The 18,677-nt window shown below is 42.5% G+C and overlaps 1 pseudogene; it reads right to left on the bottom strand.

Annotated features, from left to right (window-relative positions):
• Positions 4,874–5,694, bottom strand: RPS6P17 (ribosomal protein S6 pseudogene 17; annotated as a pseudogene).

Raw genomic sequence — 18,677 nt, 5'->3', positions numbered from 1 at the left:
ACATTTGCTATTCTCCAATATTTGCTGTTCTGCAGCCTCCGCTGGTGATACCCAGGCAAACAGGGTGTGGAGTGGACCTCCAGCAAACTCCAACAGACCTGCAGCTGAGGGACCTGACTATTAGAAGGAAAACTAACACACAGAAAGGAATAGCACCAACATCAACAAAAAGGACATCTACACCAAAACCCCATCTGTAGATCACCAACATCAAAGACCAAAGGTAAAGGGATGGAGGAAGATCTACCATGCAAATGGAAAACAAAAAAAGCAGGGGTTGCAATCCTAGTCTCTGAAACAACAGACTTTAAAGCAACAAAGATCAAAAGAGACAAAGAAGGCCATTACATAATGGTAAAGGGATGAATTCAACAAGAAGAGCTAACTATCCTAAACATATATGCACCCAATACAGGAGCACCCAGATCCATAAAGCAAATCCTTAGAGACCTACAAAGAGACTTAGACTCCCCACACAATAATAATGGGAGACTTTAACACCCCACTGTCAACATTAGAAAGCTCCATGAGACAGAAAGTTAACAAGGATATCCAGGAAGTGAACTCAGCTCTGCACCAGGCAGACCTAATAGACATCAACAGGACTCTCCACCCCAGATCAACAGAATATACATTCTTCTCAGCACCACATCACACTTATTGAAAACTGACTGCGCAGTTGGAAGTAAAGCACTCCTCAGCAAATGTAAAAGAACAGAAATTATAAACTGTCTCTCAGACCACAGTGCAATCAAACTAGAACTCAGGATTAAGAAACTCACTCAAAACCACTCAAACTACATGGAAACTGAACAACCTGCTCCTGAATGACTACTGGGTACATAACAAAATGAAGGCAGAAATAAAGATGTTCTTTGAAACCAAAGAGAACAAAGACACAACATACCAGAATCTCTGGGACACATTTAAAGCAGTGTGTAGAGGGAAATTTATAGCACTAAATGCCCACAAGAGAAAGCAGGAAAGATCTAAAATTGACACCCTAACATCACAGTTAAAAGAACTAGAGAAGGAAGAGAAAACACATTCAAAAGCTAGCAGAAGGCAAGAAATAACTAAGATCAGAGCAGAACTGAAGGAGATAGAGACACAAAAAAACCTTCAAAAAAATCAATGAATCCAGGAGCTGGTTTTTTGAAAATATCAACAAAATTGATAGACCACTAGCAAGACTAATAAAGAAGAAAAGAGAGAAGAATCAAATAGATGCAATAAAAAATGATAAAGGGGATATCACCACCGATCCCACAGAAATACAAACTACCATCAGAGAATACTATAAACACTTCTACACGAATAAACTAGAAAATCTAGAAGAAATGGATAATACACCCTCCCAAGACTAAACCAGGAAGAACTGGAATCCCTGAATAGACCAATATCAGGCTCTGAAATTGAGGCAATAATTAATAGCCTACCAACCAAAAAAATCCAGGACCAGACGGATTCACAGCCGAATTCTACCAGAGGTACAAAGAGGAGCTGGTAGCACTCCTTCTGAAACCATTCCAATCAATAGAAAAAGAGGCAATCCTCCCTAACTCATTTTATGAGGCCAGCATCATCCTAATACCAAAGCCAGGCAGAGATACAACAAAAAAAGAGAATTGTAGACCAATATCCCTGATGATCATTGATCCAAAAATCCTCAATAAAATACTGGCAAACTGAATCCAGCAGCACATCAAAAAGCTCATCCACCACGATCAAGATAGCTTCATCCCTGGGATGCAAGACTGGTTCAACACATGCAAATCAATAAACATAATCCATCATATAAACAGAACCAATGACAAAAACCACGATTATCTGAATAGATGCAGAAAAGGCCTTCGACAAAATTCAACAGCCCTTCATGCTAAACACTCTCAATAAACTAGGTATTGATGGAACGTATCTCAAAATAATAAGAGCTATTTATGACAAACCCACAGCCAATATCATACTGAACGGGCAAAAACTGGCAGCATTCCCTTTGAAAACTGGCACAAGACAGGGATGCCCTCTCTCACCGCTCCTATTCAACATAGTGTTGAAAGTTCTGGCCAGGGCAATCAGGCAAGAGAAAGAAATAAAGGGTATTCAATTAGGAAAAGAGGAAGTCAAATTGTCCCTGTTTGCAGATGACATGACTGTATATTTTGAAAACCCCATCGTCTCAGCCCCAAATCTCCTTAAGCTGATAAGCAACTTCAGCAAAGTCTCAGGACACAAAATCAATGTGCAAAAATCACAAGCATTCCTATACACCAGTAACAGACAGAGAGCCAAATCATGAGTGAAGTCCCATTCACAATTGCTTCAAAGTGAATAAAATACCTAGGAATCCAACTTACAAGGCATGTGAAGGACCTCTTCAAGGAGAACTACAAACCACTGCTCAATGAAATAAAAGAGGATACAAACAAATGGAAGAACATTCCATGCTCATGGACAGAAAGAATCAATATCATGAAAATGGCCATGCTCCCCAAGGTAATTTATAGATTTAATGCCATCCCCATCAAGCTACCAATGACTTTCTTCACAGAATTGGAAAAAACTACTTTCAAGTTCATATGGAACCAAAAAAGAGCCCGCATTGCCAAGACAATCCTAAGCCAAAGAACAAAGCTGGAGGCCTCATGCTACCTGACTTCAAACTATACTACTAGGCTACAGTAACCAAAACAGAATGGTACTGGTACTAAAACAGAGATATAGACCAATGGAACAGAACAGAGTCCTCAGAAATAATACCACACATCTACAACCATCTGATCTTTGACAAACCTGACAAAAACAAGAAATGGGGAAAGGATTCCCTATTTAATAAGTGGTGTTGGGAAAACTGGCTAGCCATAAGTAGAAAGCTGAAACTGGATCCCTTCCTTACACCTTATACAAAAATCAATTCAAGATGGATTAAAGACTTAAATGTTAGACCTAAAACCATAAAAACCCTAGAAGAAAACCGAGGCAATACCATTCAGGACATAGGCATGGGCAAGGACTTCATGACTAAAACACCAAAAGCAATGGCAACAAAAGCCAAAATAGACAAATGGGATCTAATTAAACTAAAGAGCTTCTGCATAGCAAAAGAAACCATCAGAGTGAACAGGCAACCTACAGAATGGGAGAAAATTTTTGCAATCTATTCATCTGACAAAGGGCTAATATCCAGAATCTACAAAGAACCCAAACAAATTTACAAGAAAAAAACAAACAACCCCATCAAAAAGTGGGCAAAGGATATGAACAGACACTTCTCAAAAGAAGATATTTATGCAGCCAACAGACACATGAAAAAATGCTCACCATCACTGGTCATCAGAGAAATGCAAATCAAAACCACAGTGAGATACCATCTCATACCAGTTAGAATGGCAATCATTAAAAAGTCAGGAAACAACAGATGCTGGAGAGGATGTGGAGAAATAGGAACGCTTTTACACTGTTGGGAGTGTAAATTAGTTCAACCATTGTGGAAGACAGTGTGGTGATTCCTCAAGGATCTAGAACTAGAATACCATTTGGACCAGTGATCCCATTACTAGGTATATACTGAAAGGATTATAAATCATGCTACTATAAAGACACATGTATATGTATGTTTATTGCGGCGCTATTCACAATAGCAAAGAATTGGAACCAACCCAAATGTCCAACAATGATAGACTGGATTAAGAAAATGTGGCACATATACATCGTGGAATACTATGCAGCCATAAAAAAGGATGAGTTTCTGTCCTTTGCAGGGACATGGATGAAGCTGGAAACCATCATTCTCAGCAAACTATCACAAAGACAGAAAACCAAACACCACATGTTCTCACTTGTAGATGGGAATTGAACAATGAGAATACTTGGACACAGGTCAGGGAACATCACACACCAGGGCCTGTCGGGGGACTGGGGGGTGGGGGAGGAATAGCATTAGGAGAAATACCTAATGTAAATGACGAGTTGATGGGTGCAGCAAACCAACATGGCACACATATACCTATAATAAAGTATAATAATAATTTTTTAAAAAGCATCTGACTATTTTAACTTTTTGGGTAAATGGGAATTAAGTGACTTACTATTCTTTTTTCTTTTTCTTTTTTTTTTTTTTTTGGAGACAGAGTTATGCTCTTGTTGCCCAGGCTGGAGTGCAGTGACGTGATCTCACTCACTGCAACCTCCATCTCCCAGGTTCAAGCAATTCTCCTGCCTCAGCCTCCCAAGTAGCTGGGATTACATTCGCATGCCACCACGCCCGGCTACTTTTTGTATTTTTAGTAGAGATGGGGTTTCGCCATGTTGGCCAGGCTGCTCTTGAACTCCTGACCTCAGGTGATCCATCTGCCTTGGCCTCCCAAAGTGCTGGGATTACAGGCGTGAGCCACCGCACCCGGCCACTATTCTTATAGATAGGAATGAATTTATTTCCCTCCTCCTCTGTGAGAGCTATCTTTTTGAAAAAAGTAGTTTATTGTCTTTACTGGTTATAAAAATAACACATACACCATCATAAAATTAGAAAATATGGACAATTAGGATAATGAGTATGATAGCTAATAGTTTTTTAGTATGTGTGATGTGTTCAGTGCTCTTCTAAATGCTTTACATATGTAAATATGTTAAATTCCTCATATTAGCCATGAGGTAGGAAATATTATTGCCACCATTTTGCTGATGATGAAACTGAGAGGTACGGAGGGGCTAAGTTTTTTTTTCAGGGTCACACAACCAGATAATAAGGATCACAAATAATCACACTGTCTAGAGACAATCATCATTTCAGTGAATATGTTCCGTGCTTTTCTTTATCATATCTTTATTTAAATGAGATATTAAATGACAATTCGTAACCTGCATTTTTTTTAGTCTGTCTTATTTATTTGTTACTCAAAAAATCTTATTTTTGACTAGATTCAGACTTGGAAGTAGAAACTCACAGAGAGGACAGTCTGCGTCTCTTGGCAATCTGTTCTTGATGCTTCTCTTTAGCCTCCTTCATTCTCTTGGCCAAAAGTTTAGCATATTCTGCAGCTACTTCCTTATTTTCCTTAATTCTCTGTTTCTTCAGAGCAATATGCCACCATTCGTGCTGCAGAACATGTGGAGTAACAAGATACTTAGTCGTGGGTGCTTTGGTCCTAGGTTTCTTACCTTCTTTGTTTAAAGCCTTTCTTACAACACACTGGTGGACATCATCATCTTCAGAGAGACTGAAAAGTTTGCAGATTCTGCTAGCTCTTTTGGGCCCGAGATGACAAGGCACCATAGTATCAGTCAGTCCAGGAATATCCTTCTCTCCTTTTTTTACAATAACCAAGTTGAGAATGCTCAGATTGGCATCCACAATGCAACCACGTGCAGATTTTTGCTTTCTTTTTCCAGTTCTTCTTGGTCTGTAACAGGCATGCCTTTTATTCAGCAGCAGGTGGACATGGCCATGGGTCAAGACACCCTGATTCATAGGGAAACCTTGTTTGTCGTTCCCACTGTTGATTCAGACCACATAACCCTTCCATTCTTTACCCAGAGCATCAGCAGCAACTTCTGTGGCCATACACTTCTCATAAAAAGTATGAAGTTTGTGTTCATTGTCCACTTCAATGAGTTTCTGGCAGGCAGTGGCCAGGAAGATGTTCAGCTTCATCTTGAAGCAGCTGATCGCCTTCGAGCCACCATGAAAAAGAGCTGTAGCCTGCATTTTTAACTTAATAATATTGCATCAGCTGGACATGGTAGCACATGCCTATAGTCTCAGCTACTCAGGAGGCTGAGGCGGGAGGATTGCTTGAGCCCAGGAGTTTGAGACCAGCCTAGGCAATATAGTGAGACCCTATCACTGAAAAATTTTTATAATTATCAGGGCATGGTGGAGCATGCTGTAGTCCCAGCTACTCGGGAGGCTGAGGTGGGAGGATTGCTTGAGTCCAGGAGTTAAACGCTGTAGTTAGCTATGATCACACCAGTGTGCTCCAGCCTGGGCAACACAGCAAGATCACATCTCTATTTAAAATAATAACAACAATAATATTGCATGGATAGCTTTCCATGGCAATAAACACAATCTTCACCATCATTTTTATGGCCGCAGTGTTCCACTGTATGAAGTTATGTAACATAGCCATTATATAGTACTTTAAACAATGTTGAGATGAACATCTTATCCATTCATTTTTTGTTCACCCCTCTGATATTTTATCTTGGTACAAATTTCGAGAAGCATTGTCACTAAATCCAAGAGAATGCATCAGTTTATTTTGTATACTTGAATCTAGAGATAATTGTATTTTTTATGCATTCTTTTTATCACTTTTCTAGATTGAATATTAATAACAAAATGGATAATTAGGTGCCTTCCCATTAGAGAGGAAACAGATTGCTATATGTTATTGTTTCAAATCAAACTACTCTCAGTAAATTTGCCAAAAATAAACAGATGAATATATTTCCCCATGAGCTCGCTGGGCTTCTTACAGTTTGTCACACTGGAAACATGTAATGGTGTTGTTAGCACCTTCTAGTGGTGAGAAAGCAAAATCTGACAGTGAAGCCTAGATTTGTACGTGTTGTGTTAAAGTAAAAAATCCAAACAGGAACAGAAAACCAAACACCGCATGTTCTCACTCATAAGTGGGAGCTGAAAAATGAGAACACATGGACACAGGGAGGGGAACATCATACACCAGGGCCTGTCGGAGGGTGGAGGTCAAGGGGAGGGAGAGCATTAGGACAAATACCTAATGCATGCGGGGCTTAAAACCTAGATGACAGGTGCAGCAAACCACCATGGCACATGTATACCTATGTAACAAACCTGCACATTCTGCATATGTATCCTGGAACTTGAAGTAAAATTTAAAAAAATAAAATTAAAGAATACAAAAAAAAAGTAATCTATAGCTTCGTGGTATTTTTACTTTTACTTTTTACTTTTCTTTCGTTTTGTTAATATGACTGCAAAGACTAGGAAAGTCCAAAAAACAAACCAGATATTTTGATGTTAATATGAGCATAATTTCATCTTAAGTGTGAAACCATGTATTGTAGTTCAGCTCTAAAAGGTCAAGATATTTCAGGGAATGTTAGGTGTTTTTTTTAAAAAAGGTCAACTTTTCCCACCGTCTCAGACTTGTAAACACCTACGTAAACTGTAATTGTCTTTGTGGTTAATTACTTCTTTTTGTTTTTTTGGATACGGAGTCTCACTCTGTCACCCAGGCTGGAGTTCAGTGGCCGATCTCTGCTCACTGCAACATCCGCCTCCTGGGTTCAAGCAATTCTCCTGCCTCAGCCTCCCAAGTAACTGGGATTACAGGTGCCCACCATGCCCAGTTAATGTTTGTGTTTTTAGTAGAGACGGGGTTTCGCCATGTTGGCCACTGGTCTCAAACTCCTGAACTCAGGTGATCCGCCCACCTTGGCCTCCCAAAGTGCTGGGATTACAGGCATGAGACACTGTGTCCTCCCAAAGTGCTGGGATTACAGGCTTGAGCCATCGTGCCCGGCCTGTGGTTAATTACTTTTTATTTAACTTCCAGCTCAGCATAATACCACTGACTCATATTTACATAGAAATGCTAACAGGATAGTATTGTGCTAGATCACATTCATCTGGCAACAAGAATAGAAGATGTGACATTGTACATTTAGTAACAAAAGAAAATGCGGCCCTATTAAGACTAGAAAGTACTGAAGAAGAATTATCCTCCTATTTTTTCCAATTGCATAGCCTGCACTGAACGGTACAGCGGATCTCTGTCCTCATCTTATGGTGAGAAAATTTAAAACGCCACTATGAAGATTATCTGTTTGACATGATTCAGAACTGTGAACATCATTCATTTGGCTCTTCCCTTATATGACAAGTCTTCCTAAGTTTTTCTTAGTTTCTAAGGACATTAAGAATGTCCTAAGAGTGTTTCATAGTTCTGAGACTTAGACCTAAGATTATAATAGAGTTATGACCAAGAGTATAAGATCAGTTGTAACTCCTTCTATCTGTGTCCTTCTGTTTCCAGAATATTCCTCCCCACCGGAAGCTTGGGTAGCCTCACTCACTGCTGTTGGCACCACACCTTCTGTAAGAATAACAAGGTGGTGTGCTGAGGAGGCAGTGAGATACCACAGGACACATGAGAAATTCATCCAGGTTGGGCTCAAAATAAGCCCTTCCTGGCCAGGCGTGGTGGCTCACACCTGTAATCCCAGCACTTTGGGAGGCCGAGGCAGGTGGATCACCTGAGGTCAGGAGTTTAAGACCAGCCTGGCCAACATGACGAAACCCCGTCTCTACTCAAAATACAAAAATTAGCCAGGTGTGGTGGGCACCTGTAATCCCAGCTACTTGGGAGACTGAGGCAGGAGAATCGCTTAAACCCAGGAGACGGAGGTTACAGTGAGCTGAGATCGTGCCACTGCGCTCCAGCCTGGGCGACACTGCGAGACTCCATCTCAAATTAAATTAAATTAAATTAAATTAAATTAAATTAAATTAAGTTAAATTAAAATTTTAAAAAAGCCCTTCCTAGCAGAGAAGATGGTAGCAGCATTTACTGGAGAAAATTGGACAATCTGCCCCTTCCTTTCTGAAAGCAGCTTTTTAGAGGGTGGACAGTTGTTGCTGCACAGAGGTTGCTCATCCTTATTACTGCTGCTGTGTACCTTTCTCTGTGTTCTGGAACTCTTCACTCAACAGTCTTTACCAGAGGCCCTATTCTAGGGGCTGCGGATGCCATGAACAAGACAGGCAAAGTCCTGTCCTTGGTAAGCAGACATTGTAGTTGGGGAGACAGTGCACAAGTGGATAGTGGATATGCTCCAAAAGAAAAGACAGTGGGATAGGAAGGAGACAGCAGTGATGATTCTAGAGAGATGCTCAGGAAAGCCCATCTGGGCTTTCTGTAAACCAGGAAGATTTCATATTTGAGCTGAGATCTGAAATAAGTGAGCCATGTGGGAAGGTCTAGGGGCAGAGAGAACAGCAAGTGTGGAGCCCTGGAGGGGACTGAGCCTAGTGCTCGTGAGGAACAGGAGCACTGCCAGGGTAGCCAGGGGGAGTGCAGGAGGTGGGTGGGCAGGTGGGCAAGAAAGGCCATCGCAATAATGAGGTGTTCTCCACGGCAAAGCAAATATTATAAGACAGTCTCTGAAAACATGCTGATGGCCAAAAATTTGGATAATCAGTAATAAAATAAATGATAAGTGCCACACTGTAACTAAACTGCAATGAAATTTCCCTCTAAATGCATCTGGAATTTAGCTTCCCCAAACCAAGGCATTTTCTGGAAAATGTTATTAATTCACTCAAGTATGTTTTCAGCACATAGAATATGCTTAGCACCTACTAATGGATGGACATATAGTGTGTGGAGTTCATAGTATAGCAAGAAAGAAGCACGGCAAAGTTCAAATAAATCTGGATTTGTGAATCATGGTGAGTGTCATGGAGAAAGATATCAGGGGGATGGGAGCGAAGATAACAGGAGAGGTTGGGAGGAACATGCCTTGAACAGATTGCCAGCCTCCTGTCTGGGGAAGTTGCATCTGAGCTGAGACCTGAACATGAGAGGTGCGGTGGGAAGACAAGCCAGCTTCCAGAGAGTGGGAACATGTGTCGAGGCCTGCACTGAGCTAGCGGCTGGAGTGGAGTGAATAAGGAGAGAGAAGCAATAGGAGGGGAGGGAGCTGGGCTTCTCAGCCTTGGCACTGCTGATATTTTGGGCTGGACGATTATTTGTCGAGGGCTGTCCCGTGCATTGTAGGATGTTAAGCAGCATCCCTGGCCTGTATCGCTAGATGCCAGTAACACCTTCCTTTGCTCCATCCCAAGCTGTGACTACCAAAAAAGGCCCCAGACATTGCCAAATGTCCCCCGGGGGGCAAGAGAAGCACTGGGTTAGAGGCTCAGGCAAGGCCAGGACAAGCAGAGCCTTGAAGGCCATGATAAGGCACTTTATTCTGAGTCTGATGGTGTTATAGAGGAAAGTTATGCTCCCCAAAATTCATATGTTGAAGGCCTAACCACCACTGTGATGGTATCAGGAGGTGGGGCCTTTGGGAGGTGATTAGGTCTTGAGGGTAGAGCCCTCATGAATGGGAATTAGTGGCCTTATAAGAAAATACAGGAGAGAGTTTGCTTCCTCTCTCCCTGCTTTCTGCCATGTGAGGATACAAATCAGATAGATATCTGTAAACCAGGAAGCTGGCCCTCACCAAGTTCCACACCTGCCAGTGCCTCCATCTTGGACTTCCTGGCCTGCAAAGCTGTGAGAAACAGGTGTTTGTTGTTTAAGCCACTGAGCCTATGGCAATTTGTTAGAGCAGCCTGATGTGACTAAGACAAATGGAAAGCCATGGAAAATTCCAAGTAAGGGAAATACGTGATCCCAATTACACCATAGGTAATTGAACCATGTATTATTATCTTTGAAAGTTCTCTTTCAAGAGTATTGAACCATCAGGGTCACTACTATTTTGACTAGAACCTGTCAGTTCCAGTTTACCTTCAGCTTGTGTCTCCCTGCATCCAAATCTTGTGTTAGGTTCACTCCCTGGAGTAACTTCTGCTGGTTCAGACAACCACCACCACTGACGTTGTTTTAAGCAGGCCACTGGGGAAGAGCATGGACTGAAACACACTTTGCCTATCTGAAACGTGGGGATCTTATCCATCTGAAAGAGCTGTTGCAAGAATAAATGAAAAAAGTGCCTGGCACAGCATCTGGACATACTGGCACTCTGTAAGTCTTAGAAGGAGGTAGAACAAAATACTGTGGCAGACACAGAGGTGTGCCCCTCAGATCTCTTTTCAAGAAAAAATTTTGCTGCTCAACTGCCAAGAATGCAGTGAGCTGGCAGCCTCTGCTGTTACTACCTCCAGAATCTGCCACTTTTTAGCTAAGGTCATGTTCTTCCTGGAGGGGAACCAGGGCCTGGATATTTCTGCAAAATGCAGGACTCCTCTAACAGGCACTATTGCTCCAGAGCTCTCTGTTGGGTGGGTGGAGACTCAGATCTGCAACGTTGTCTGAGCTTTTCCACCCAACACCGCCTCTCCAGTCTCTTTCATTTTTCGTGGCATTACTTCCCACTAAGCCTCTTGCACTAACTCTGTCTCAGATCTGCTTCCCGGAGGACCCAGCTGATGCATCTCTCTATTTACTTTGCCCCCTGCCTACAACTTTCTTCTTTTTCTGTGCTTCAGATTGCAGAGTTTTCAGGAAACTCTTACAACCTTCCTCCTCTGTGTTCCCACAAAATTTTGTTTATACCTTTATTATAGAGAAGGAGAAGGGAACAGTACTTATTGAACACCTGTTGTAGGCCAAGAGCTGTACTGAGGAAATTTTGTTTATATATCCACACTCACTCTTGAGTTTTCATACTAGCCTGGGAGGTAGAGTTTATCATTCTTATATTGTAGATGAAAACTCAGAGTTGCAGTGGTCTGTATTGCAGAACAATATTTCATTTCAGTCTGATAAAGGACGCTGCTATTTATTTTCATTAGACTACTAAGCATTTAATGTACTTGATTGTACTTTATCTGATTGCATGTCTACTTTTGGGGAGTGGAAATGCCTTATTTGTTTTTATAAACAATGACCGAACCCGGTTCTATGTAATATACATGTAGTGAATGCTTACTGAATGAGTGAATGAATTATGGCTAGATTGGACTTGGACTTACTCTTCTTCTATGTGAAAAGGTGCATTTTGAATAATTGCTAAAATGCATGATAATGAGACTACCACAGGCCCGGATATAGCAGAGCTGCCCAGTTGCTGTTAAATGCTGGGATTAGATAAAATCAAAACCGCAGGATTCTATAGAGGCAGTAATGGGATTTGCAACTAGAATGTTTCAGATTTTAAAAAACTGTCACTTATGATGAGGAAAACAAGGCCAGGTCAGCTGGGCCTGAGGCCAAATGGAGAAGGAGGTCAGGTTTAAGGATGAAAATGGCAGACCTAGTCGATTTGCAGAAAGCAAGGGATCCTTACAGCTTATCGGGGAGTGAAACGTAAATATTAGATGTAAGTCTAGGGAAGGACCTTCTGGGTCTGCTACAACAGATGGAGGTCGGGGGAGGTTGGGGGAGTAGGGGCATGGTAACTGCAGGGGCTGGATCATGGTGGGCGCAGGATGCAGGTGTTAAGTCCGCTGCAGGAAATTCTTGTTTTTTGGTTTTTGTTTTTTTCTGAATGAACACATAGCTCAGCATATTATCGTTATTTTTGGCTCCTAAGTTTGAGACATCTGAACTAAATCAATTGCTGACAGCTACACTCCCACTGCAGTGTTTCACGGCTTGCCCCCCATTTTGTTAGCCTGAAAATTTGGGGAGTTGCAATAGAATAGATAATATCTGAGATTATTTCCAAGGAGAAAATTTCATGATTCTCAACCCCCTCGAGGGCTGGTGGGGGATGAAGGAGCAGCCATAACGGGGCAGGATCAGGGGAGTTCAGACATACGTGGCTGACGTGATCCCGAAGAATAGCCACCACCTTCCCCTGGACTGTTGAGATGCCTGTGAAAATTTGCAACACAGATCCAAATAAACAGTGCCATCTAGTGGCAACTCTCTTGAACTCATCCATCCATTTATCCACCAGCCATCCATTTAATATTTGCAACATGTCTACTATGTGCCCGCTACTATTTAACAGTAACAAGAGAGATTCTGAAGTCTCTTCCCTAGTGAAACATTCTAACCAGGGACAGACAAGTCCCAAGCCCCATAGCGGTAGTGTAGACCTCATTAATTGACAGTTCAGATGTTTCAAACTTGGAGGCCAAAATTAAATATAATACACAAAGCTACTTGTTCCCTTTTTTAAGTGAAAATTATCTTTTAATGTAGAAAAGATGAATCCAGGAGTTCCAAAATTAGCCTGGGCAACATAGATTCCATTTCAAAGAAAGAGAAAAAAAGTAAACAGGGGCCGGGCGCGGTGGCTCACCCCTGTAATCCCAGCACTTTGGGAGGCCGAGGCGGGCGGATCACGAGGTCAGGAGATCGAGACCACGGTGAAACCCCGTCTCTACTAAAAATACAAAAAAAATTAGCCGGCTGCGGTGGCGGGCGCCTGTAGTCCCAGCTACTCGGGAGGCTGAGGCCAGAGAATGGTGTGAACCCGGGAGGCGGGGCTTGCAGTGAGCCGAGATCGCGCCACGGCACTCCAGCCTGGGTGACAGAACGAGACTCCGTCTCAAAAAAAAAAAAAAAAAAAAAAAGTAAACAGGAGGTTTTTAAACTCTTTTATTCTCATAGTCTGACTCCATTTTTGATGTTTGCTGACAGTTTTCAAGCCCCCCCTCCCCCTCCGCCAACTTCCTTCTCCTTGCCCCACCTCTGGGCGGGGTGATAAGAAATCCTGAGTGCTTCCTCCTTTGGCACTGAAAGTGAGTTCAAACCATGCAAGCCTTGGCCAAGTAAGAACCCTACCCTCTAATCACAAGTAAAAGCAGAGTCAGTCTCCTTTCCCTGCTCTCTCAAGCCATGCTTGGACCTGCTTGGGAGCCACCTGTTCTCCCCAGAAAGACTCCATCATGTGATTAATAAAATTAATAACTCCCCTTTTTTTTTTTTTTTGAGACAGAGTCTCGCCCTGTCGCCCAGGCTGGAGTGCAATGGCGCGATCTCGGCTCACTGCAACTTCTGCCTCCCGGGTTCAAGCACTTCTCCTGCCTCAGCCTCCCAAGTAGCTGGGATTACAGGTGCCCACCACCTTGCCCGGCTAATTTTTTATATTTTTAGTAGAGATGGGGTTTCACTATGTTGGCCAGGCTGGTCTCCAACACCTGACCTCAGGCGATCCACCGGCCTTGGCCTCCCAAAGTGCTGGGATTACAGGCATGAGCCACCATGTCCGGCCCATAATTGCTATTCTTACATACGATAATGGAGGTAGTCCTATCTGTTTGCATGCCATTTCCAAATTGTTTGTCTCACCCTTCATAAGGATCACGGCCAAAACTCTTATAACAAAAGACAGATTAGCAAGAGAAAAGCATAACAAATTTATTTAATCAAAGTATTTTGTGATGACACAGGAGCCTTCAGAAATGAAGACCCAAAGACCCAGAAAAAACTTTCTATTTTTATTCTTAGGTTTGATGAAGAATGGACAACCACGTAGAAATGTGATTGGATGAAAGTCAGAGACTGGGGAGCGAAACCCAGCAAGTCCTGTCCGTTCAGATTCTTCTTGGCCTCTCTGTGCAGCATTCTTTCCTCTCTGGTATGAGGCAGCACCCCTCCTGAATGAGGGTGTTCAAGGGAGAAGGGAGAGAGTAACCTTTCTAGATGTTATGGCTCACTTTGCAGGGAGAGGGATTCTAATTTCTATGACCCAAAGTTGGGAAGAGGAATTATGGTTCTATGACTCACTTCAGGGAAGGAAGGTGGATGGGAAACAGACAGGTGGGAGAAGGTCAGAGAAAGACTTTGCTTCTTTGTTTTGGGGAGTTTTTTGTTTGTTTTTGAGACAGGGTCTGGCTCTGTCTCCCAGGCTGGAGCTCAGTGGTGCGATGAGGGCTTACTGCAGCCTCAGCCTCTTGGGCTCAAGAGATCCTTCGAGAGCCTCAGCCTCCCAAGTAGCTGGGACTACAGGCATGTGCCACCCCATTCAGCTATTTTTAAAAATTTTTGTAGAGATGTGGTCTTCCTATGTTCCTCAGTCTGGTCTTGAACTCCTAGGCTCAAGCGATCCTTCTCCCTCGGCCTCCCAAAGTGCTGGGATTACAGGCGTGAGCCCCTGAGACTTTGCTCCTTAAACTGCCTCTGAGGCTTTCCAATCTCCTTTAGTTCAAACTACTCAGAATACAAAAATTAGCTGGGTGTGGTGGTGGGCACCTGTAACACCAGCTACTCGGGAGGCCAAGGCAGGAGAATCACTTGAACCTGGGAGGTGGACGTTGCAGTAAGCCGAGATCACACCACTGCACTTCAGCCTGGGCGACAGAGTGAGACTCCATCTCAAAAAAACAAACAAAAAAAATCAAAGTACTCAGGAGGCCAAAGTGCCATATTTGGGGTATTGTTTCCTGAGCCCCAAGAGATGCATTCTCAAGAACATTAGAAGGTGAAAAAGAACTCCCATTCCTCATCTCTCCCCATGCCAGAATTTTCTCAGATCGTCTTCCCCTCACTCCACTCTCCAAGATACCAGAACAAAATAGGTTGCCAAAATACAAACTGCCTTTAATTCCATTTTACTAAAAATACAACCAACAAATATCATATTAAACAATTTGAATAAGTCAAAATGCAGTGACAAATATTTTAAATACATATGTTCAGAAAAAAAATACCTTGTGTGGCTTTTTCTTCTTTAATTTACTTTTCTCTATTTGCAAATAGAGAAAGTGTCAACCCAATCCCCTTGGAATAGATTTTTTACTATAAAAACTGGCCATCTTAGCTTCCATTCTGTTTTGTCTTTCTTATAGTCTGGGCCCTAGATTTTTCAAGCCAAATAATAGATAGTAAAGGAACATGCAGAACTGAATAGAAATCCTAACGGCTGTGCCAGCTTCATTGGCATCTTTCTGGCTATTTAGCTCCATATTCCTGGAGTTCAGAACAGCCCAAGTCTTGCTATTTAAAGGTCCACTGACCCTCTTAGGAAGATTGGGTCCCGTTGGCAGTTTTTTTTTTTTTTTTTTTTTTTTTTTTTTTGAGACAGAGTCTTGCTCTGTTGCCCAGGCTGGAGTACAGTGATACAATCTTAGCTCATTGCAACCTCCGCCTCCTCGGTTTAAGCAATTCTCCTGCCTCAGCCTCCCAATTAGCTGGGACTATAGGCCTGCACCACCACGCCTGGCTAATTTTTGTATTTTTAGTAGAGATGCGATTTCACCATGTTGGCCAGGCTGGTCTCCAACTCCTGACCTCAAATGATCCGCCCGCCTTGGCCTCCCAAAGTGCTGGGATTACAGGCGTGAGCCACCACATCTAGTCCCCTACTGGCACATTTTAATGTGCTAATGTTTATCCATAAAATGAAAGGTTGCTTTAAAATCAGGTTTGTGCCATTAGTCAACGATTTCAAGATCAAAAAAATTAAATAGAAAACATATGAAAGTAGATATATCTGTTTACTATTCTTTGTGTGTTGGGTTTACTATCCTGTAACTTCAGTATTTTACAAATTAAGGCTCTCTGAGTTGCAGAAAATGACCTGTGCCAGCTTCAGCAAACCCCGAAGCACAAATTAATCAGAAGGATGTAGGTTTCCCTTGGAGTAAGCAGGAAGCAGAAACAGGAGGCTGCATCAAATAGCCTTAGGCCCCGTAACCCCCTATTTACATCTGTAGTTCAAAATTCCAGTCTCTTTTAAAAAAATTGATCTGATAGGCCAGGATGAGGATTCATCCATAGACCAATCACCTATGGCCTCTGGGCAGTCTGCTAGGAGTATCCCAGCTGCTGGCAGTTCCTAGAAAGGGAGGAATGACTCTGAGCAGGGCGTGCAACCCAAAATGCACCTGCCACATGCACTTTGACTCATTTTCCTAACATTCCTCCTCACGGTACAGATGAATGATGTTGCTTAAGTCCAACACCTACTTTTCTCCAAAGGTAATCCTCAGGCTTCACTCAGTTAATGGAACTAAATGCCTATGATATGTGCAAGAAGCTACATATAAACAAGTATAAAAAGGCAGAAAAAGGTATCCCCATTTCATGCTATAACTTCCAAAAAGAGTTTTGTGATTTACATGTAGTTTCATACTGATTTCTGAGTAAAAAAAGATCTATTTTCCTCATATGACAGACTATGCCAGCACTTTATACCCAGAATCTTTGATTATCATAATAACTCTATGTAGTACGCTGAATAGTATCCCACAGAAAGTCACGTCTACCTGGAATCGCAGCATGTGACTGTGTTTGGAAATAGGGTTATTGCAGATGCGATTAAGGTAAGAATGGAGAGATCATACTGGAGGGGGGTGGGCCTCAACTCCAAGGAAATTGTCACTATAAGAGACAGAAGAACACACAGAGACACAGAGAAGATGAGGCAGATTGGAGTGAAGGGCCTATGAGCTAAGGAAGGTCAAGGACTGCCAGAAACCCCTAGAGACCCAGAGAGGCCTGGAGTGGTTTCTCTCTCAGAGCCTCTGGCAAGGAAGCAACCAAGCTGATTCCTTGATTTTGGATTTCTGGCCTCCTAAACTGTGAGAGAATAAATTTCTATTATTTTAAACTACGCAATTTGTAGTAATTTGCCATGGCAGCCCTGGAAATCTAATACAATCCACAAGGTAGATATCATTAAGTAATTTGCCCAAGTTAGGCAGCTACTATGTCAGTGCCTACTAGTCATCTACCTATTAATAGCCACCCTTTCCTTTTTTCTTACCAACAGAGAAAAGTTTTATTTGGGTTGGCAATATGCTCACCCTAATTACTACATTTTTCAGCCTACTCATAGTCACTGAGAGAGAAGCAGAAGTCACTGGGAAGACTAAATAGAGGAAACTGAGTTTTTTCTCCCACCCCAACACAGACATCATGACTGAGCTCCCATAGTCAGGAAAAAACTTGAGAATGGAAACCATATTCTATTTTTTTTTCATACAAGGTCTCACTGTCATCCAGGCTGGAGTGCAGTGGCATGATCACAGCTCACTGCAGCTTTGACCACCTGGGCTCAGGCAATCCCCCACCTGAGCCTTCCGAGTACCTAGGACTACAGGCTTGCGTCATCACTACTGGCTACTTTTTTTCTTTTTTTTTTTTTTGAGACGGAGTTTCACTCTTGAGCAATGGCGCGATCTCGGCTCACTGCAACCTCCGCCTCCCAGGTTCAAACGGTTATTCTGCCTCAGCCTCCCAAGTAGCTGGGATTACAGGTGCCCGTCACCAAGCCCAGCTAATTTTTCATATTTTCAGTAGAGACAGGTTTTCACCATGTTGGCCAGGCTGGTCTCGAACTCCTGACCTCAGGTGATCCACCTGCCTCAGCCTCCCAAAGTGCTGGGATTACAGGTGTGAGCCAATGTGCCCGGCCTAATTTTCTTTTTAATTTTGTAGAGATGGGGTCTTGCTATGTTGTCCAGGCTGGTCCTGAACTCCCAGGCTCAAGCAATCCTCTAGCCTCAGCCTCCCACTGCTGGGATTACAGGCGTGAGCCACCATGCCTGGCCATTGGAAACCATATACTAAGGGGTGTGGAACAAGCTTGGGTCCCTGATGACTGTGGAGTTGCTCTATCAATGCTGGACCTCTTTATCACAAAAGAATAATAAGAATAAACATTTTCCTTGTTTATATCACCGATATCTGGGTGAAATCTACTCCAAATTGCAACAGTTACTAAAGGCTGGGATTAGAATCTGAACCCAAACACATATGATGTTAAAGTCTCACATTCATTCCATTACCTTGCCAGCTTCCCTGACCATGGAAGCAGGTCTGCAACAAGCCCTGGCTCAGCCACTAACACACACAACAAACAAGTACCGACTACAATATATAGGAGTCATATGCTCTTCTAGGTTCCAGCATACAACAGTAAACAAAGACAAAAATCCCTGGGATTTAATTAATATTCTAATAAGGAATGATATACAATTTTTTAAAAATATGTAAAATGTAGGCTGTGTTAATGATAAATACTATAAAGCTAAATAATGCAGAAAATGTAGATAGGGA

The sequence above is a fragment of the Homo sapiens genome, chromosome 11 (assembly GCF_000001405.40).
Source record: "Homo sapiens chromosome 11, GRCh38.p14 Primary Assembly".
Lineage (NCBI taxonomy): Eukaryota > Metazoa > Chordata > Mammalia > Primates > Hominidae > Homo > Homo sapiens.
The sequence above is the reverse complement of the archived record's forward strand: the minus strand, read 5'-3'. Positions and strand labels throughout refer to the sequence as shown.